Genomic DNA, 16,432 nt, shown 5'->3' on the forward strand with positions numbered 1-16,432 from the left:
ATGCAGGACTCACAGCCTTTGGACCGCAGCTAAAGGACTTGCTTCTCTTCAGCACACGGGGCTTGTTTGTGTTGGGGTCTGAGCCCTGAGCCCATGGTCAAGGAGACCCCCAGGTCTTTCTGAACAGAGACAGCTGGCCTGGGGGCCTCCCTCTCACTGCGTGCAAGAGGCTGTTAGGGTGCAAGACTCAAGGCGCTGAGGGAGGCTGTTTCAGGAGGGAGCCCCAGGAGGGTGGTGGAGACAGAAGGGGGCAGCATCTGCCGAGGCCCTCCTGTGTGCCTGGCACCGTGTGGGGTTTCTGGCCCATATGGGCTAAGTGACCCTGCACACTCCTCTTAGGAGAGAGGCTCAGATGGAGAAATTGCAGTTCAGGAAGGTGAAGCAAGCTGCTAGCCTGTGGCCATGTTGGGATCTGGGCCTCAGCCTTCCAGCCACGAAGGCAGCCAAGTGTCATGAAGAAGGCATCACAGAGGCAATTCCAGGCTGTAGTGGTGAACTTTCCACTCTGCATCCCCGGGTGCTGTGCCCTGTGCCCTGTCTAAGGTAGCCCTGTGGGTTTCTATATGTTTAAATTGTCCCCAGCATCAATGATGCTCTCCTGTGGATCCCAAGCCATGGAGATGTCCTGGGACTTTTCATTTTTAGGTACCTAAATTGAATTTCCCAACACACAGAAGCAAGACAGCCGCCCTAACAGACTCTTGCATGCAGTGAGAGGGAGGCCGCCAGGCCAGCTGTCTCTGTTCAGAAAGACCTGGGGGTCTCCTTGACCATGCGCTCAGGGCTCAGACCCCAACACAAACAAGCCCCGTGTGCTGAAGAGAAGCAGGTCCCTTAGCTGAGGTCCAAAGGCTGTGGGTCCTGCATGAGCCTGAAGTGGTGCACGTCCCTGGTCACATTGGAGGTGGAGAGCTTGGGGATCTGAATGTGCTGTTTGCCTTGGATCTTTATTTGTGATTCAGAAACAGTGGAATAAAAGGAAAGGAAAGAAAACCTGAATGGCCACCTCAGCAGGATGCTCCAAGGGTAGTGTCCAGGTGGCACTGACTCAGATATGTGGGGGCTTCCCCCACCCATGCTCAAGAGCCACTTTGCCATTTCACCATCTCTCTGTCCTCCACACCCCTCAGCAGCAAGCACAACAAGAATGTGTTCACCATGAAGCTCAAATCTCAGCAGAATCTAGAGTCTGAAATCCAAGTAAGGGAAAGTGTAGAGCTTCTTGGATGATGCCCTGTCAATTTTATTTTAACGAATGAAAGACCAGAAGAAGTCAGTCTTGAAAGGAGAGGACAGGAGCATCTGCTGGCATTAGCAGCCGTGCCATCGTAGGACCGACTCACCTGGACCCGCGGCCACCTGTGCTTTTACATCTAGTCTTGGTTAACCATGGGCCACTTTTCCAGCTTGGAAACTAAGCATATGCTCCACTTCCTCTCCTTCCTCATTGAACTCTTTCACTAAAAGAACAGTGCAAGAGAGACTTAAACTGTTTGCCTCATTCTTAAGACCTTTCAGGAAAAGTGTTGGCAGGGAAGGAAATCTCCCAGCTCTGGGAAACAGTCTTGTGGATTATCTGCTGGTTTCATTGATCTGTGCTGTCCTCCCTGCATTCATTAGGAAAACTGGCCTTGGTTCAAATAAGAACAGGATTTGTCCTGGTGACAGAGAAAGGTTTCTTCTGATGTCCATATATCTCCGAGGGGGATGCTTTCTCCAGGCAGAGGCTGTGGCCAAGCGATCGGGGGGCTCAGAGGGCTGCTGGGAAGGGGTGGGCCCCTCTCTCCCCAGAGGGAAACTCCTGGGGACCTCTCGAGCACCCCTGCCCATCCTTTAAACATAAATTCATAAATACAAACAAGTAGGCCATTCACAGAAATATATAAAATATGTCATAGGACGGGTGGCACTCTCATATGGCAATAATTATGACAGGGGCCGGCAAATGACCTGAGTGACCCGGAGTGGCCTGAGCACTGACTCCCAAATGCCCTCCATAGGATGTTCTGCATCCCCGAGACCCTTTCCTGGGTCCTCCTGGGCCCTACCACCCCCTAGACCATCCAGACCTCAGGTCATCCCCCTGTCTGTTGACAGAGTAGTCTCCGTTCCTGAATGTGCTGGTCACCAGCAACAGCAGCTGCTCCTCCTCCGGGAAGCTCAGCCTATACTTCTACATGCAGAGAACCTGGACGGCACCCAGGTGGACCTAAGCCTTCAGCTCCCAGTAGACACTCTGGGTTTCCTACCCTGCCCAGACACTCTGGGCTTCCCCCCACACCTCCCCTCGGCCGGGGCTCCTGTGTGCATCTGTCTCTCCCAGTGCCCAGCACAGGCGTGGAAGGGAAGAGGTGAATGGACCGATTTGAACACATCATCCTGGATTCTCCGTTCCCTCTCAAGCCCTGCAGCTAACCCATCGGCAAGCCCTGGAGGCTCTGCCTCCAAAATCCTGCCTATCCCATGTGCAAACGCCTCTCACCATGTCCACTGCTATTTGCAGTTCTGTGTGTGTGGAAATACTTCCACAAATTTGGAATGAACAGGTCACAGCTGTGCCTGGAGGGAATGGCCAGGGAAATGTGCCCTCGCCTTGCTGTTCTATCCAGGCCCACCCAGCTGAGGATGGGGGACCTGCCACCACTCTCCTGGCAGTTCCGGACTCCTGGGAACCGGCAGGTGAGGACCCAAGAGTGTTTTCAGTGACCCGGCTGACCTGGTCATCCGTCAGTCCCACCTTGGCCTAGGCCTCTATACAGCACAGATCACAGCTCATTCCATCCTGGCATTACACTGGCCTGTGCCCTGTCCTCAGGGTCACATCCGTCTCCCAGAAGCCGTGCAACCCTGGAAAACCCAGGTCTAACAGTCAGGTTCCTCCTCCGTGCATTAACAATGGAGTTGACGCCTGCTTTGCGGCACGCTGGGAGGGGAGAGGGAGGTGTATGCTGGAGAGCTCCCCAGGGGCAAGGCCTGGCTCTGCGTCACCCACTGTCAGATCCTGAGAGCCTGGGGCTGGCCCAGCACGTGGCCACCGTTCCCTAAGAGTTGGATTTCATCCCTCAGTGCTGAAGGCAGGGGATAGAGCTTAGACAGACCCCCTGCGTCCTGTCTTCTTTATCTACAGCTTTCTCATCCTTGCCCCTTTCACGTGCACCCGGCAGAGCAGGTGTTCACTGAGCTTGAGCAAAATTCAAGCTAGAGCAGCTGATGGATCTTGAGGCCTAGATTCACTGTCAAAGTGTTTCTCAAACGGTGCTCTCCAGAACACCAAGGAAAACTCATTGACTGTGTAAGTCTGAAAATCCCTGCCCACCGGTCTACCTTTGTGTATGAGCAATCAGCTCTACCATTCAGCCCAGGTGTGTGTTTGCTGGACCATGTGGAGGAAGCTGAAGAGACGTGAGCTGAAGGCAGAGGGTGAGTCCAAGGTGGGATCTTGGGACAGGTACGAGAAGTTAGGCAAAAATGGGATAATTCTAGCCTTCATAACCTTAGATAACAGTTCACATTATTATTTAGTTAATAGAACTGTACCCACATTAAATTTCTTAAATTTTTTTAAGAGATAAAGTCTCACTCTGTCACCCAGGCTGGAGTGCAGTGGTGCAATCATGGCTCACTGCTTCCTGGAACTCGTGGGCTCCAGCAATCCTCCTGCCTCAGCCTCCTGACTAGGTGGGACTATAGGCACACGCCACCATGCCTGGCTAATTTCTTTGACTTTTCTCTAGAGACCGGGTCCACCTAGGTTTCCCAGGCTGGTCTCAGACTTCTAGACTCAAGTGAACCTGAACCTCCCGCCTCGACCTCTCAAATTGCTGGGATTACAGGTGTGAGCCACCACACCCGGCCTAAATTTCTTATGTGCCATGGGACTGCAAAACATCATTATTAGGGGCAGCTGGATGGAAGGTATAGGAGGATACTATAGTGCCTTTTCAATATTTCTGTCTAAAATCTAAAATCATTTCAACAGGAAACATTTATTTCAAAACATGAAGGTGGTTATCCTTCCATGAGTTTGAAGTACAAAGGCAGGCTCACGGTGTCGTCAGAATTCAGAACGATGGTCGTGGGGCTGGGGGTGCTGGGAGGGGCTGGGCATGGTTGGCTTTGTGATCTGGGGTCTGGTGTGTTCCATCTCTGAATCTCTCTCGAGCTGCACTCTTTCTTAATACATTTTCATAAGTTTAACCAAAAATAAAACGAGGACGCGAAGCTTGCTTGGGTTGTTAAGCCTAGGGAAATTATCCAGCCATGAGCCCTGGCCCAGATGCTTCTAGAAGCCTGGAGGGAACTGAGAACTTTCCAAGTGGAGGCCGCAGAGGCAAGGCCCTGAGGTGGGAGCACACTGCTGTTCGTCCCTAGCTCTGAAGGGGGTGCCCTGGTCGGAATCAGTGCTGGGTGCAGCGAAAGCCGATCTCACCCGCTCCGCAGGGTGTTCAGCCTGCCAGCAGGGGGCCAGCTGGTCCTCCTGGGATATGGCACGGACCCAGCAGCTCTGTCTGAAATCATAATGGCGGAACCAAGGGCCCTCTACGTCCAGGTCCGTTGGGAGGCGGGGCATGGAGTTCCACTGCAGGAATCTCCAGGAACCCTGAGGTCCTCCCTGAGCCAGGGCCGGGCTGGGCACACCCTGAGTGCCCACAGGGTAGGTGTCTTCCCGGACAGCCCCACCAGGACAGGGTGTGGAAGAACGAGGTGCCCGTGGCGGGGAAGCTGACCAAATGGGCCGCGGGAACCGGGCTGGTGGGCCTGGAGGGGCCTGCCTGTCCCCCTTGCAGAGGGTCTTCCCGCCACGTGAAGCCGGCACAGGCCTGGATGCCGACGACCCTTGCTCGGGTTTGGCTGAAAGGAAAACAGACGCGGTCAGCATCTCCAGTGAGCCCACGCAGGCCTTTCCGGGCTGGGCCCCACCTGCCTGCATCTCGGAGTCCTCGGGGTCTCTGTGTGGCCCCCGTGGCCTGACACCGAGGACACGCCTGTAGTCTGCTGATCCCAGAGGGAGGGGTGCATGCTGCCTGGCGTGGGGAAGCTGTCGTGGCATGGCGGGTGGCTCCTGGGACTGCCCCCAGGGTTCAGACTGGCTGGGGGCTTCCTGCCACACACCTTCGTCCCAGGGCTGTTGGGCCTGGGATACGGCCCCCAGTCAGAACTCAGGTGGGAGGGGCCTTGGATGTCACCCAGCCCCTTGTCACCTCACGTGGGGACCCGTCTCCGCAGTGGGTGATTGGGCCCGGACGTGGGTCACCCTCTGCCCTCCTGGGCTGCCCAGTCCATGCCAGGACTGACCGTTCCCACTTCTGGCTGAACTCTTGGCTCTGGCTCTGGGCCCTCTCCCTGAATGCTCTGTGGGTCAGGGACACGGATTCCCTTGTCTCCCTGGCTCCAGGCTTCTTGTCCTGGCAACCTTGGAGGAGCGTGCAGGAGTGAGGGGCCTCTGCTGCTCTCTGAGGCTGTGGGTGCTTGCAGGGAGGGGCGGGGTCTCCCACAAATGGGTCTGGGCTCGTCTAGTAACTTGGAGGGCCCTGCGAGGGGGAGAGGGAGACACCGTGGAAAGTGGGAGGGGGCTTGTTGGAGGGTCTTGCCCACATCCCCCTCCTGCGTGCACAGCATGTCCAGTATACACGCACTGAGCGCCTGCCCTGAGGACCGGTGGGCCTCCTGTACTTTCTTAGAGTCCAGGAGGAAGAGGAGGAAGAAAAGGTGAAGAGGAAGGCCCAGGTAGTAGGGTTGCGGGTCCCGGGCACTCCCCTACTACTGACTACCCCAGAGGGTGACATGGGAGGGGACATGGCACTGGAGCCCACCTGGGGGTGGCAGGTCCCCCTGCTTTCTTGTTAGTTTCTTCATAGAGGCCCTAAGATGCTTGAGCACAGTGTCCTCATCCCTGGCCCAGGTATCAACGAACCGGTTGCAAAAACGTGCCCACGGGCCACACCTGGACGTCTTCGTGAGGCGCTCTAGGGACAGGGTGGATATCAGGCCAGGGGAGTTACCTGGGAATGGTCACAGCTCATATCCCGTGGCCACTTCAGTCTCCTACTGGGCGGTGCCGGATCCTTTTGTGGCCACCCCAGGTGTCCAGATATACACAGGAGACTGTGGCTGGGGGGCGATCCGGACAGGGAAGTGCTCACCACACTCTCGACTTTCATCTGGGTCATGTGGGGGATGGGCTCGGTGTCACAGTGTCCTGCCCAGCCCACCTGGCCAGACCTCCCTCTGGGCCAGAACAGAGGATCATGAGGACAGTGTGAGGAAGCTGCCCTCGGGCCAGTCGGGGTCTGACCCCAGGGCTCCCCAGGCCCCGCTGGGCACACGTAGACTTACTCTGCTGAACCTTAAAGGCGATTCTTGTTATCGGCATCAACGCCTGTTCGCCTTCTACCAGATACACGTCCCACAGGCGCAGGGTGAGCCCGAGAGAGATCTGTGGGGACAGCAGGTGTGAAAGAACCTGGTCCTTCCAGGCTGGGGCTGGTGGCTCGAGCTGCGCACACTGGGGCTTCAGTCTCCAGAGTCAGTGACCTTCCCCATGAGGGTCGCCTGAGCCCTCCAGGACGCTGGGTCAGACAAGGTCTTGAAGCTCCTCATGGGGGGCACTCATTTGAGTGGGGATGTGGCTCCTGGAGAGAGGGGCTTGCCCAGGGCTTGAGGCTTCCCTGAGCCCTCTCAAGTCGGGTCCTGGCCCAGTCTGCCCATGAGGCTGGGCCTGAGCCCCAGCCATGGCCCTGGGATGACCCCCCTTGGGCAGAGGGTTTTGCTTGTGTGTCCTTTGGGGTCCCGCCTGAGCCTCCTGTGGGCTGGGAGTGAGCCAGACCCCCGGGCTGGGGAAGCAGGGCACTGCAGGGCAAGGAAGGTCCCTGAGCCAGGGTCTCCCTATGCCTCCTTACCCCGTCAATCAATATCCGGATGAGGCAGCCTAACGGGGAACACTGCCCACATAGATCTTTCTTGTCCTGATGGAAGCAACAGAGGTGCTCAGGCCACTGGGCTGCCCTAAAAACCTCCCTCTTCCAGGGCCTCTGAAGACCCTTCCCCTAGTGCAGAACACTGGGCGGTGTCCAGAGCTCCCCACAACACTGTCACCTTCCCACACTCCCGGTGGACACACTGCCCTTTGCCCTGCTCTGCGGGAGCTGGGCCCCCATCCCTGTGCCTCTGTCTCCTCCAGGGCAGGAAAGGAAACCAACTCCCAGCCCATGGAGAACCCGACGTCCCAGGTCAGGCCCTGGCTGGGACTCAGCCAGTCACCAGCCCCACGAGGGGCTCCAGCCCCCCTGCTCCTACAGCCCCACGGGAGGCAGGGCCTCTGGGAAGAGCTGAGGGGACCATAAACTCACCTGATGCCCCATGGTCTTGGGTTGTGACGTGGCTACCACATGCTCCTGTTGGTCTTGGAGCCCCTGGACGGTCCCGCCATTTGGGCTGTGAAATCCTGAGAAGCCCCCAGCCCATCATGAAATCAGAGCCTTCCCCCAAGATGTGGAGCCATCAGCTGCAAGAGCTGGGCAGCTGGAGAGGCCCCCAAACCCCAAGGCCTCCCACCCTCCCATCTGGTGACCCCAACATGCGGCCTTTACCCTGGGGAGGTGGGGCGGGAACATTCCCTGGAGCCTGGCTGGAGGTTCCCCTGGAGGCCTCCTGGGCCAGGGTGCAAAAAGGGCAAGCCTGACTTTCAGGCCACGACAGGGTGGCCGGAACTGGGTGGGCGCTGGGCTTCCCGGTCATCTCCTGGTAGTGGGGTCGGGCCAGGGAACAGGGGATGGGGAGATGCTGCCACCTGGGCTTGGTCGGCCCATTCGTGGGCACCGATGGCAGCAGGAGCCTGGGCAGCTGGAGGGCAGGAGGACTCTCAGGGAGGGGAGAGTCAGCTGCACAGAATCAGAGCCGGAGGGCGTGGCTCCAGGACACAGAGGGTGGCCACGGGGAGGATGAGATGCCCTCTGCTGATGGGGATGACAGGCGTCTGATTTGGGCTTTGGGGGTCAGCCGTGGACTCCTGTGGGACCCTCAGCAGAGACATTCTAAAGTCTCCCAACAAGCTGGCGACACAAGGAGGGTGCCTTGGCTGAAAGCTGTGATCACCCGGCCAGGGTGGCCATCCCCAGGTCTGGCTGCAGGAGGTCCCCGGGGCAGCTGTTCACTTACCCTGCAGGGAGTGCCTCTCACTGGCCAGCAGCTGCACCAGTGCCCAGAATGCATCCTCCTCAGGAAGATAGAGGAGGAACAAGGCGGCGATGTGGCTCAGGTCCCTGCAGTAGCCCACCTCCTGCAAGAGCCAGAGTCACCATGGAAGGACATCACCTGGGAGGGCTGAGGTCACCTGGGAGGACTCATGTCATTGGAGAGGGCAGAGGTGACTGGAGAGGCTTCCTCTGAAGGAGAGGCTTCCTCTGAAAAAGAGGCTTCCTCAGGATGCACATTCATTTCATGACAAGAGCCAAGTCCATCAGGCACTTCAGCACCTTGTCCAAAATGTCTGCTGATAGCACCATCCTGTGTGCGATGCTGCCAAGCTCCTGGGCTTTGGGGCAGCCCCAGGAGGAGGGCGTCATTTCTTGTTCTGAGAAGTGGTGGTCAGGCCCAGGTGACACCAGGAGTCCCGGCCCTGACTCCTTTGTGTCTCAGCTTGACCCCTTGAGACCACCCCCTTCCTTGGAGGTTTATGCCAGCGGTGAGCTGACATCCTACCTCCTATATCCTGGTGGGTCACAAATACTAACTTTAAAAGAAGCAACGACACCCCCACCAGACACCCACTCCTGTCAATATGGAAATATGGCCCGGGAACCTCACTGCCGGGAATACTCACCGGGTTATACTCCTCATATGCCAGGAGGATGTGGAGTAGTTCCCGCTGCCTAGGAAACAGAGAAAGGGGGCTTTGGTTTGTTTTGTGCAGATGTTGTTAATTTCACTTTGTCTACAAAGCCTAACAGCAAATCCCATTTCAGGTTCAGATGTTTCACCAGATAAGCAGTGAGCTCTTCAGGGCCTGAGACTCTTGAAGAAATGTTTCAGTAAAATCCACATCTGTGACATGCAAATAGCCCAGTTGTACAGTGACTTGCCTGATCCTTTTCACTCTGAATGATTTTTTTTTTCAGTTTGCACACACGCCAGTTCAGTCTGTGGGTGTACAGTTCCTCCACGGTTCCAAACCGATGTGCAGAGTCTCCCGGCCACCGCTCCAGCCCCTCCTGGGGCGACTCCTTCATCCTCCAAGTCTCCAGGGTGGCCCCTATGCAACCAGCCTCTCCCCGATCCGTCAGCCCCTGGCCACCCAGACTGCTTCTCAGTCCCTGTGGTTTGGCCTTTTCCAGAATGGCCTAGGAATGGGAATCCTACTGTGGTAGCTTATTGGGTCTGGCTTCTGTCCCTCAGCAAAATGCATCTAGGATCCACCCACGTTCGTGCGGGCATCACCGGCTCGTTCCCTTTTCTCACTGGGTCTTCCGTTTGAAGGGAGGACCAGCCTTGCTCTCCCCATCCCCGTGTTGAAGGCCGTCCCCGAAGGCTCCGTGTGTGAGTGACGAGGAGTCAAGCAGTGAACCTGGCATGCTGGTTTCATGTGGATGTCAGTTTGCAAATCAGTGGGTTCAATATCTGTGACACTTTGGGGATGTGTGGTTCAAGTCCATCGAGCTTTGTGAGCCACTGCCCAACGGGCTGCCAACGTGGCTGTGCCATGTCATGTTCCCAGCGGACCTGGATGAGAGTTTCCAGGACCCCTAATTCTCCCAGCATTTGGTGCTGTCACTGTTGCCTGGCGGGGGCTCATGGGCCCTCTATCCTGCCACCCTCCCGTGGGTCCTACCATGGGTCCCCATGGGTCAGGGAGAGCACCCTTCACCATTGTGCATGATTTTGTTTGCTGCCTTCCATCTCCTCAGGATCCTCCTGGGTTCTGGCCCCACATGTTCCAGTCTGGCCCAGGGCTTGGAACCAGGGAGGTGCTCGGTTCATGGTGCCGGCTGCTCCCTGGGCCGGGAGAGCTCTTGGCAGCTGTGTCATCCCTCCTGGGTGACCCTGGCTTCTGCTCCGGGGAAGCCCCCATCCCTCTCATTCACCCCATCTCTGCTGGGACCCTGTGGCTCCCGTAGGCTTACTTGGTTCCGTATCGATCCCTGAAGAATATATGCTTCCTTAATGTCCCGCTTACGTCCCGGTCGATGCGCTGGATGTGCTCAGATGACCTCTTGCCCTTCTCCTTCATGATCTGTAGGGCAGGGCCAAGAGGAGGAAGCAGTCTCAGAACAGATGGAAGACTCCCTGCCCCCAGTGGCAGTCAGCCCACAGTCAGCACTTCGGGAAGGAAGGACAGAAGGAAGGTTTCCTTCTGCAGAAAGCTGCATTTTGGCTTGTTACTGAAGCCAGGGAGGGTCACCAGAGCTGAGTTTGTCTGTGGTGACTGTGTCACCATCTGTGCCCAGGGTGTTCATCTGACCTTCACCCCCAGCTCCCCAGGGTGGTCTTGACGTTCCCTCCAGCTGGAGACCTGGGCACCGACACGGCCTGTCCTGTTTGTTGTGCTCTGGCTGAGCGTACCTGGTATCTTCCGGGGTTTTTCATCTTCATTTCCTCAGTGTTCAGGAGGACTGACCACATCGGGCCCCGGATGTTCATGGGCATTCCCTTGTACGCTCGATCTATGAGCTGTAGGCAGAAAACAATCTGGTGTCACAGGCCACGGGGTGACCCCAGTGAGGACCAGAGCCCGGGGATTCTGGAAATTGTCGGTTTTGGCCCCATGATTCCTCAGTAGAGGTGAGATCAAGCTGGGACAGGGTCTCCCTTCCCAGGACTGAAAGAGTGGATGGACACTCAGAGTCGAAACTCTGATCTGAACCTTTTCCTTCCTTCAGGTCCCCAGGGCATCCCTAGCCTTGAGCTCCGGGTAGTCCCAGCCCTAGATTCAGATTCCCTCCCTGCAAGGTGACGCTTGCACGAATAGGCAGGAAATCTGGCGACCAGGCCTGCAGTCCTCTGGGCGAGGACAGTGTGCCGCCCACCCTCTGAGAGGCTGATGGTGCCAGGCCACAGCCATGGGTGCCTGTCCCCTGTCTCTGCAGAGAGTGCTTCCTCCCTCCACACGTTACCTTTCTGCTGCTTTTGTATTTCTCCCAGTCTCCCAGCATATCCACCCACTTGCTCTTTCGGCTGATCTCCCGCCGAATTTGCTGTCAAATGAGGCATGTTGGAGTTAGCGGAGCTGCCAGGCTTCCCAGAGCCGCCCGCGGATGCTGGGTCTTGGGCTCTGGAGCCCTGGTGGGAGCCAGCTGGAAGGAGCCAGGGAAGGGCAGACCTCAAGGGCTGAGAGCCTTTGAGCAAATGAGCACCAGTGGGCTGGCTTTGGGACCCCGGGATGTACCATCCTCAGGCCACAGACACACCAGTCTTAGGTCCCAGCCTCTAGGTGGGGTCCTGACACAAGCGCGCAGCCACCCCCAAGCCAGGACTGTGGTTCTCCTTTTGGAATTTTATCAAACTGCCAAAGTGAACAGCAACCTGGGGTCAGGTCCAGCAGGGACTGCTGCCCCTCCCAGTGACAGCGTGTTGCCCTCACCCGCCACCGCTCAGGCCAGCTGCTTCCTCTGCCTCACTGACCACCCGCCCAGTCCCTACGTCCCTGGACCAGCCCCTCCACGCATCAGGCTCTTACCTTCGCCTCCCGCGCAGTCAGAGGAGGCAGCTCCGTCTCACTGTAAGGCAACCCAGGCAGAGCTGAGGAACTGCACGGGGCCTGGAGCGGCCCCAGCCTGGGTGCCGACCCCCAGAAAGGACTGGCTCTGTCCCTTTCCAGCTCAGGGCTCAGCCCAGGAGAAGGCACAGGGAAGGGAGGACAAGGGCCTTCCTGTGGGGCTGACTCCCAGGAGGGGCAGGACCTGGGAGAAGAAGGAGTGTAGGGACAGCCTGGCCGGGGTTACTGGGGCCCCTGGCGTGGGGGGCGGTCAGGCTGCCCAATGGGGCTGCCCGTCCTGGACTCGAGGTGGTGCTTTCTGCTGGAGCTGAGAAAGGTTAGCCCTGAGATGGGATGGGGGCCGCCCAGGGTGGGCGACCGGGCCCTGACAGGAGTCCCTCAGGGAGTGACCACATCCCCCCGCCAGGGTCAAGGGAGCCTGCCCTGAGACCTGCCCGGTGTACTCTGGCTGCACCAGGGGCCCACCCCACTTGACAGCCCCAAGGCCCTTGCAGGTTCTGACCTCCCAGCATCCACCTGCCTCTCCCTGCACCCGAGCCACACACCCTGCGTTTCAGAAGTGGCACCGCTCGTCAGCTCCCTCCCGCCCTACCTCCCCAGGGATCCTCTGTCTCTCCATCCTGTGATCCCTGAGGGATGGGCTTCTGGCTGGGCTCCTCTTACCCGGCCCCAGATCCCTTCCCAGCACCAGACCCAGGTCTTTAGCCGCGAGCCCTGCTGCCTCCCTGGCCTCACCGTGAGATGCCCAGAACGGGGCCCTGCCCATCTTCTCCCCCGTTCTCCTAGGGCTACAGCCCCCATTGTCACCATGCCTTTTCCCCTCACGGGACAGTGAGGGCTGTAGCTCTAGGGGAATGGGGGAGAACAGGGGCAGGTGGGCCCTCAGAGACCTGCTGGACAACAGCCCTGAGGCTGGGCCAGGCGTCCCCTCACCCTGTGGCCATAACCCTTGCATCTCACCGGGGTTGTCTCCAAGTAGACAGGGCCAGACCCTCAGGCTGCCCCGCTCCTCTTGTGCTCACTTGCCGACAGAACTGCTGAGCGCCCAGGGGCCTGACCTAGCCCAGTCTCCATTCCCACCGGCTCCCTAGATGGGCCCCACACCTCTGGCCTAACAACCTCGGGCTGGACCTGCAGGGGAGTCAGGGAGGAGTTCTGTCCCTGGAAAGGAGGTTGACCCGACCTGGTGAGACATGTCCTGCGTCAGAAAGGCCTTTCTAAAAGCAAACCCATCCCTGAGCTGAGACAGGTGCTTTAGGGGTGAGGGGAGTGCAGAGGACTCACTGTACAATCCCCAAATGATCGACGTTGTTGTTGTAGCTTCGAAAAGGCTTAGGCCCCTTGTCCTCTGGCAGCCCAGCTCGGTGTCCCTGTAGCCCAGAGGGAGCCTTGGTGAGGGGTCCAAGGTAAAGGGTGCAAGGGCCTGGGGGCATTGGCCACCCGTCCCTGCCCTGTGCTCCTAGGGAGCCCAGGACCCTTTGACCAGGGCACACTGGAAGAGGCCTCCCTCCAAGAAGCAGACCGACTTGTACCTTTTCGTATTTCATAATGATGTCCTCTCGCTCTTGTGCCCACCAACTGCCCGCGACCTCTACCACGTCCATCCTGTGAGACAGAATTGTCTAAAGGTCACACTGTACGCGGCGGCTTCGGAGAACACCTGAACCGCTCTCGCCGGGCTCCCAGATGCTGGCTGGCTGCGTAACCCCCATTCCACCGCCGCCCCCAGGGAAAAAGGGGCCAGACCCAGTGGCCCACAGCTGCTCCAGTCTCTGGAGTCTCAAGTCCCAAGCAGGGGTGGGCATCTTCCCAAGGACTTGAGTACAGTGGGACCTAGACAGAGAATCCTGTTGTCCCCCAATGCCATGAAATGGGGACACACCGGCCCCAGCAGGTTGAATGGTTTCCACCTGCCAAGGGTGAAGGGCCCATGATGGGCTATTCCAGGGATGTGGAGGCAGACTGGGGTCAGCGACCAGAGGTCTCTGTGCAATCGGCCTCCTGGGATGCTCAGGGCCTCAGCGATGCCCAGTTTCCTACAGGGAACAAGATCTCTCCCGACTGCTCGGTTCTACTCCGCTCATCACTTTGGCTACCGTGGCTCTTCAGTCTGAACAGTGAAGCCACTTTAGGAATAACGCCTGTTGAGCAGGAGGGTGTTGGGTTTGGAGGATGAGGAAGATCTATTGTACGCATGGAAACCACGTCTCTCGCGGAGGGACTGTGGAGTCCACCATTCTGAGCCGTCCCAACAGGAGGAGGCTTCATTTTCCTGGGTCACTGAGGAAGAACAGTGGGTCCTTGGTCCTGGAGAACAGCTGGATGGACCGTCCCTCCTGGGAATACTCGAGGCAAAAGGAGGGCGAGGCCTCAAGAGGACCACGCAGAGCAAGAAATACCTGGGGAGAACCCTAGTGCCCGGACCCCTTTGAACACAAGGGAAGATAGTCTCCCCTCAGCCAGCCCTCCAGGGCTCCTTCATTTTCCACAGCTGCCCAAGGGCAGCAGGCTCCCCCGGACAAGGGACCATGTGTGTTCAGTGGGGCCCACAGCGACCATCAGGACCCAGCTTAGGGCACAGAGGTGTTCTGAGGACCGTCAGTGGATCTGTACCAGTGGCTCTATACCAGTGGCTCTGCCAGGACCAGGCTCTGCCCCATCGGGATGGGAAACCTGGGCAGATTTGGGATCTAGGGCAGGGAGGTCACAGGGTTCAGGCCTGAATTCCAGCACAGCACACGGCAGGGCTGAGAGCAAAACTCAGGGTCATGTCCGGATTCCCAGGCCGGTTACTGCCTCTCTGACCCCAGACGTCTCATCTGTCGAATGGGGACATTTGGGAACAGCACCCACTCTACGAAGCCACCATGGAGACGAAAGAGCCAATCGTCTACACGGGCAGTGTAGAACGGGCGCCTGGTGAGTGCTCAGGGATGACCCTCCTCGGTAGCTGCCCCACAGAGGCCAACACCGCCCGCACCGTAGCCACTGCCCCCAAGTCCGCCTGGAGGGAAGAGAGCAGGTCACGCTCACCTGATTCTGATGAATCAGCTGGCCTGGGTCATGCCTCTCAGGGAGAAAACCTTTGAGTCCACAGAGCTGCTCACAGATACCACTGCCTGTGTGTAACTGCTGTAGACCACTGAGGCAGACCAGAGAGCAGATAGGTGCTAAGCACCAGTGACATTCTGAGGTCATGGCACGAATCACAGTGGGGCCTTGCCCGGGTCAGCAGCGCCCAGAGTCAGGGTCCTCCGCTGCCTGAGGCGTCAACATGCCTGCCTGCAATGTGTTTGTGCACGTGCGTGGACATGTGTATGTGGGTATACACATCTGTGCACGTGTGTGCTGCTTCTCTGGCCAGGCCCGGCTGCCCCACTCATGTGTGCACCCAGTTCCTCATCACTGTCACCCCCGAGGCCCAGGGCCAGCATCAGAGCATCCATGGCTGCTCCCTAACCTCAGCCCTCCCCGCCCAGGGTGGTCCTGGGATACACATAGGGGTGGAGGGAAGTGACTGCTGCTGTTGGATCTCAGAATACAAAAGCTAGTACTATTACCTAATGGTCTTTTTAGTGTCTCTAATGGTATCGCTTTTTCATTTCTGATATTTTAACTGGGTATTTCTCTCCATGACCCTTGGATATTCTAGCTAGAGGATCCTGTGGGGAAAGTGCCGGGCACACAGTAGGGGCTCACTCTTCTAGACATGTTATCTAAAACCTGGCTCATCTGTCCTTCCACACAGGGCCTAGGGGATGCCAAATTCCAGGGGCCAGAAAGAGCTTGGGATAAAAAGAAACTTCAAGGGGACGGCTTTGACCTGGGCTGAGTCTGCCTGTGCCATCCAACTGGAGTCTCAAGTCCTGAGGCAGGACGTCCAGATGCCCCAGTGCAGGGTCCTCCTGATCAACACCTGCTCCCCTGTACTCATTAGCAACCTCACCCACCCTACTCTCAAAGCACACTTGGCTCTCGTATCCAGGAGCTCTGCATCTGTAGATTCAGCAACAGCAGATGGAAAATATTCAGAAAATAAATTGGACGGTTATGTTTCTATTGAACATGTGCAGAGTTTGTTCTTGTCATTATTCCCTAAAGAATCCAGTATCACGACCATTTATGTAGCATCTGCATTGTATTACACATCATGAATAATCCAGAGATGGTCTAATGTCTACGGGAGGATGTGCATAGCTGATATGTAAATACTAGGCCATGTTATGTCAGAGACTTGAGGATCCATGGATTTTGGCATCCCCGGGGACCCTAGAACTAATCCATGGATACCAAGGGATGACTGTATAAACTCACTCAGGAAGGCTTCTCATTGGAGGAAGGTCCCAGTTCAGGACACACAGGGACATCTCCCTGGACTACTGTCCATTCATCCATCCATTCATCCATTGTCTCCCCCCACCCCCCCATCTCGGACTGTCCCAGTGACAGCCCTAGCAAGAAGAGACAAGAAACAAGTTCACGTTGTCCAGTTTTGAGGTAATGGAAGAAGTTGCACCAGTATGAGAATAGTGGGTCAGTTTTCTACAGGATGCAGAAAGCATATCAGGCAGCCTCGGGGTGCGGAAAGGAGCCTGGCCTCTCTAGCAGCCACACAGGCCTGCAGTAGGATGGGGCTGTGGCTGGCCATGTGGATCACTTGGGCCTCATGAGGGGAAAGGAAATACCAGGGGGGCAGAAGAGGAGCATGGGGGCAGCTGGTTG

General features: G+C 57.5%; 1 protein-coding gene and 1 long non-coding RNA gene across 9 annotated transcripts, besides 2 other annotated features; one reads left to right on the forward strand and one right to left on the reverse strand.

Annotated features, from left to right (window-relative positions):
- Positions 1-3,967: 3,967 nt before the first annotated feature.
- Positions 3,968-14,933, reverse strand: TBC1D3I (TBC1 domain family member 3I). 8 transcript variants are annotated; one of them, NM_001291463.2, is made up of 14 exons: positions 14,744-14,899; positions 13,243-13,315; positions 12,995-13,080; positions 11,672-11,711; positions 11,109-11,189; positions 10,558-10,665; positions 10,119-10,228; positions 8,822-8,870; positions 8,158-8,278; positions 7,350-7,444; positions 6,900-6,965; positions 6,337-6,436; positions 5,814-5,966; positions 3,968-4,851 (listed from the first exon to the last, which is right to left on the reverse strand). In NM_001291463.2, exons 2-14 carry the CDS (start codon positions 13,312-13,314, stop codon positions 4,283-4,285), a joined length of 1,650 nt encoding a protein of 549 aa, NP_001278392.1. In that variant the 5' UTR covers position 13,315; positions 14,744-14,899; the 3' UTR covers positions 3,968-4,282. The 8 variants fall into 8 exon arrangements, with proteins under 8 accessions (NP_001278392.1, XP_006722286.1, XP_047291061.1 ...); XM_006722223.4 differs by having other exon boundaries at positions 11,672-11,894; XM_047435105.1 differs by having other exon boundaries at positions 11,672-11,894; positions 13,243-14,600.
- Positions 13,863-14,364: an enhancer, noted in NCBI's record as "H3K4me1 hESC enhancer chr17:34591003-34591504 (GRCh37/hg19 assembly coordinates)". NCBI's record gives its function as "activates a minimal SCP1, AML or CMV promoter by ChIP-STARR-seq in primed H9 embryonic stem cells {active_cell/tissue: H9 hESC(primed)}" and the evidence as "EXISTENCE:reporter gene assay evidence [ECO:0000049][PMID:30033119]".
- Positions 14,365-14,864: an enhancer, noted in NCBI's record as "H3K4me1 hESC enhancer chr17:34591505-34592004 (GRCh37/hg19 assembly coordinates)". NCBI's record gives its function as "activates a minimal SCP1, AML or CMV promoter by ChIP-STARR-seq in primed H9 embryonic stem cells {active_cell/tissue: H9 hESC(primed)}" and the evidence as "EXISTENCE:reporter gene assay evidence [ECO:0000049][PMID:30033119]".
- On the forward strand, positions 14,918-15,774 carry LOC102724956 (uncharacterized). Its single transcript, XR_429947.4, has 2 exons — positions 14,918-15,011; positions 15,459-15,774. It is a non-coding gene; the product is annotated as an uncharacterized LOC102724956 (long non-coding RNA).
- Positions 15,775-16,432: the final 658 nt, after the last annotated feature.

The sequence above is a fragment of the Homo sapiens genome, chromosome 17, assembly GCF_000001405.40.
Source record: "Homo sapiens chromosome 17, GRCh38.p14 Primary Assembly".
Lineage (NCBI taxonomy): Eukaryota > Metazoa > Chordata > Mammalia > Primates > Hominidae > Homo > Homo sapiens.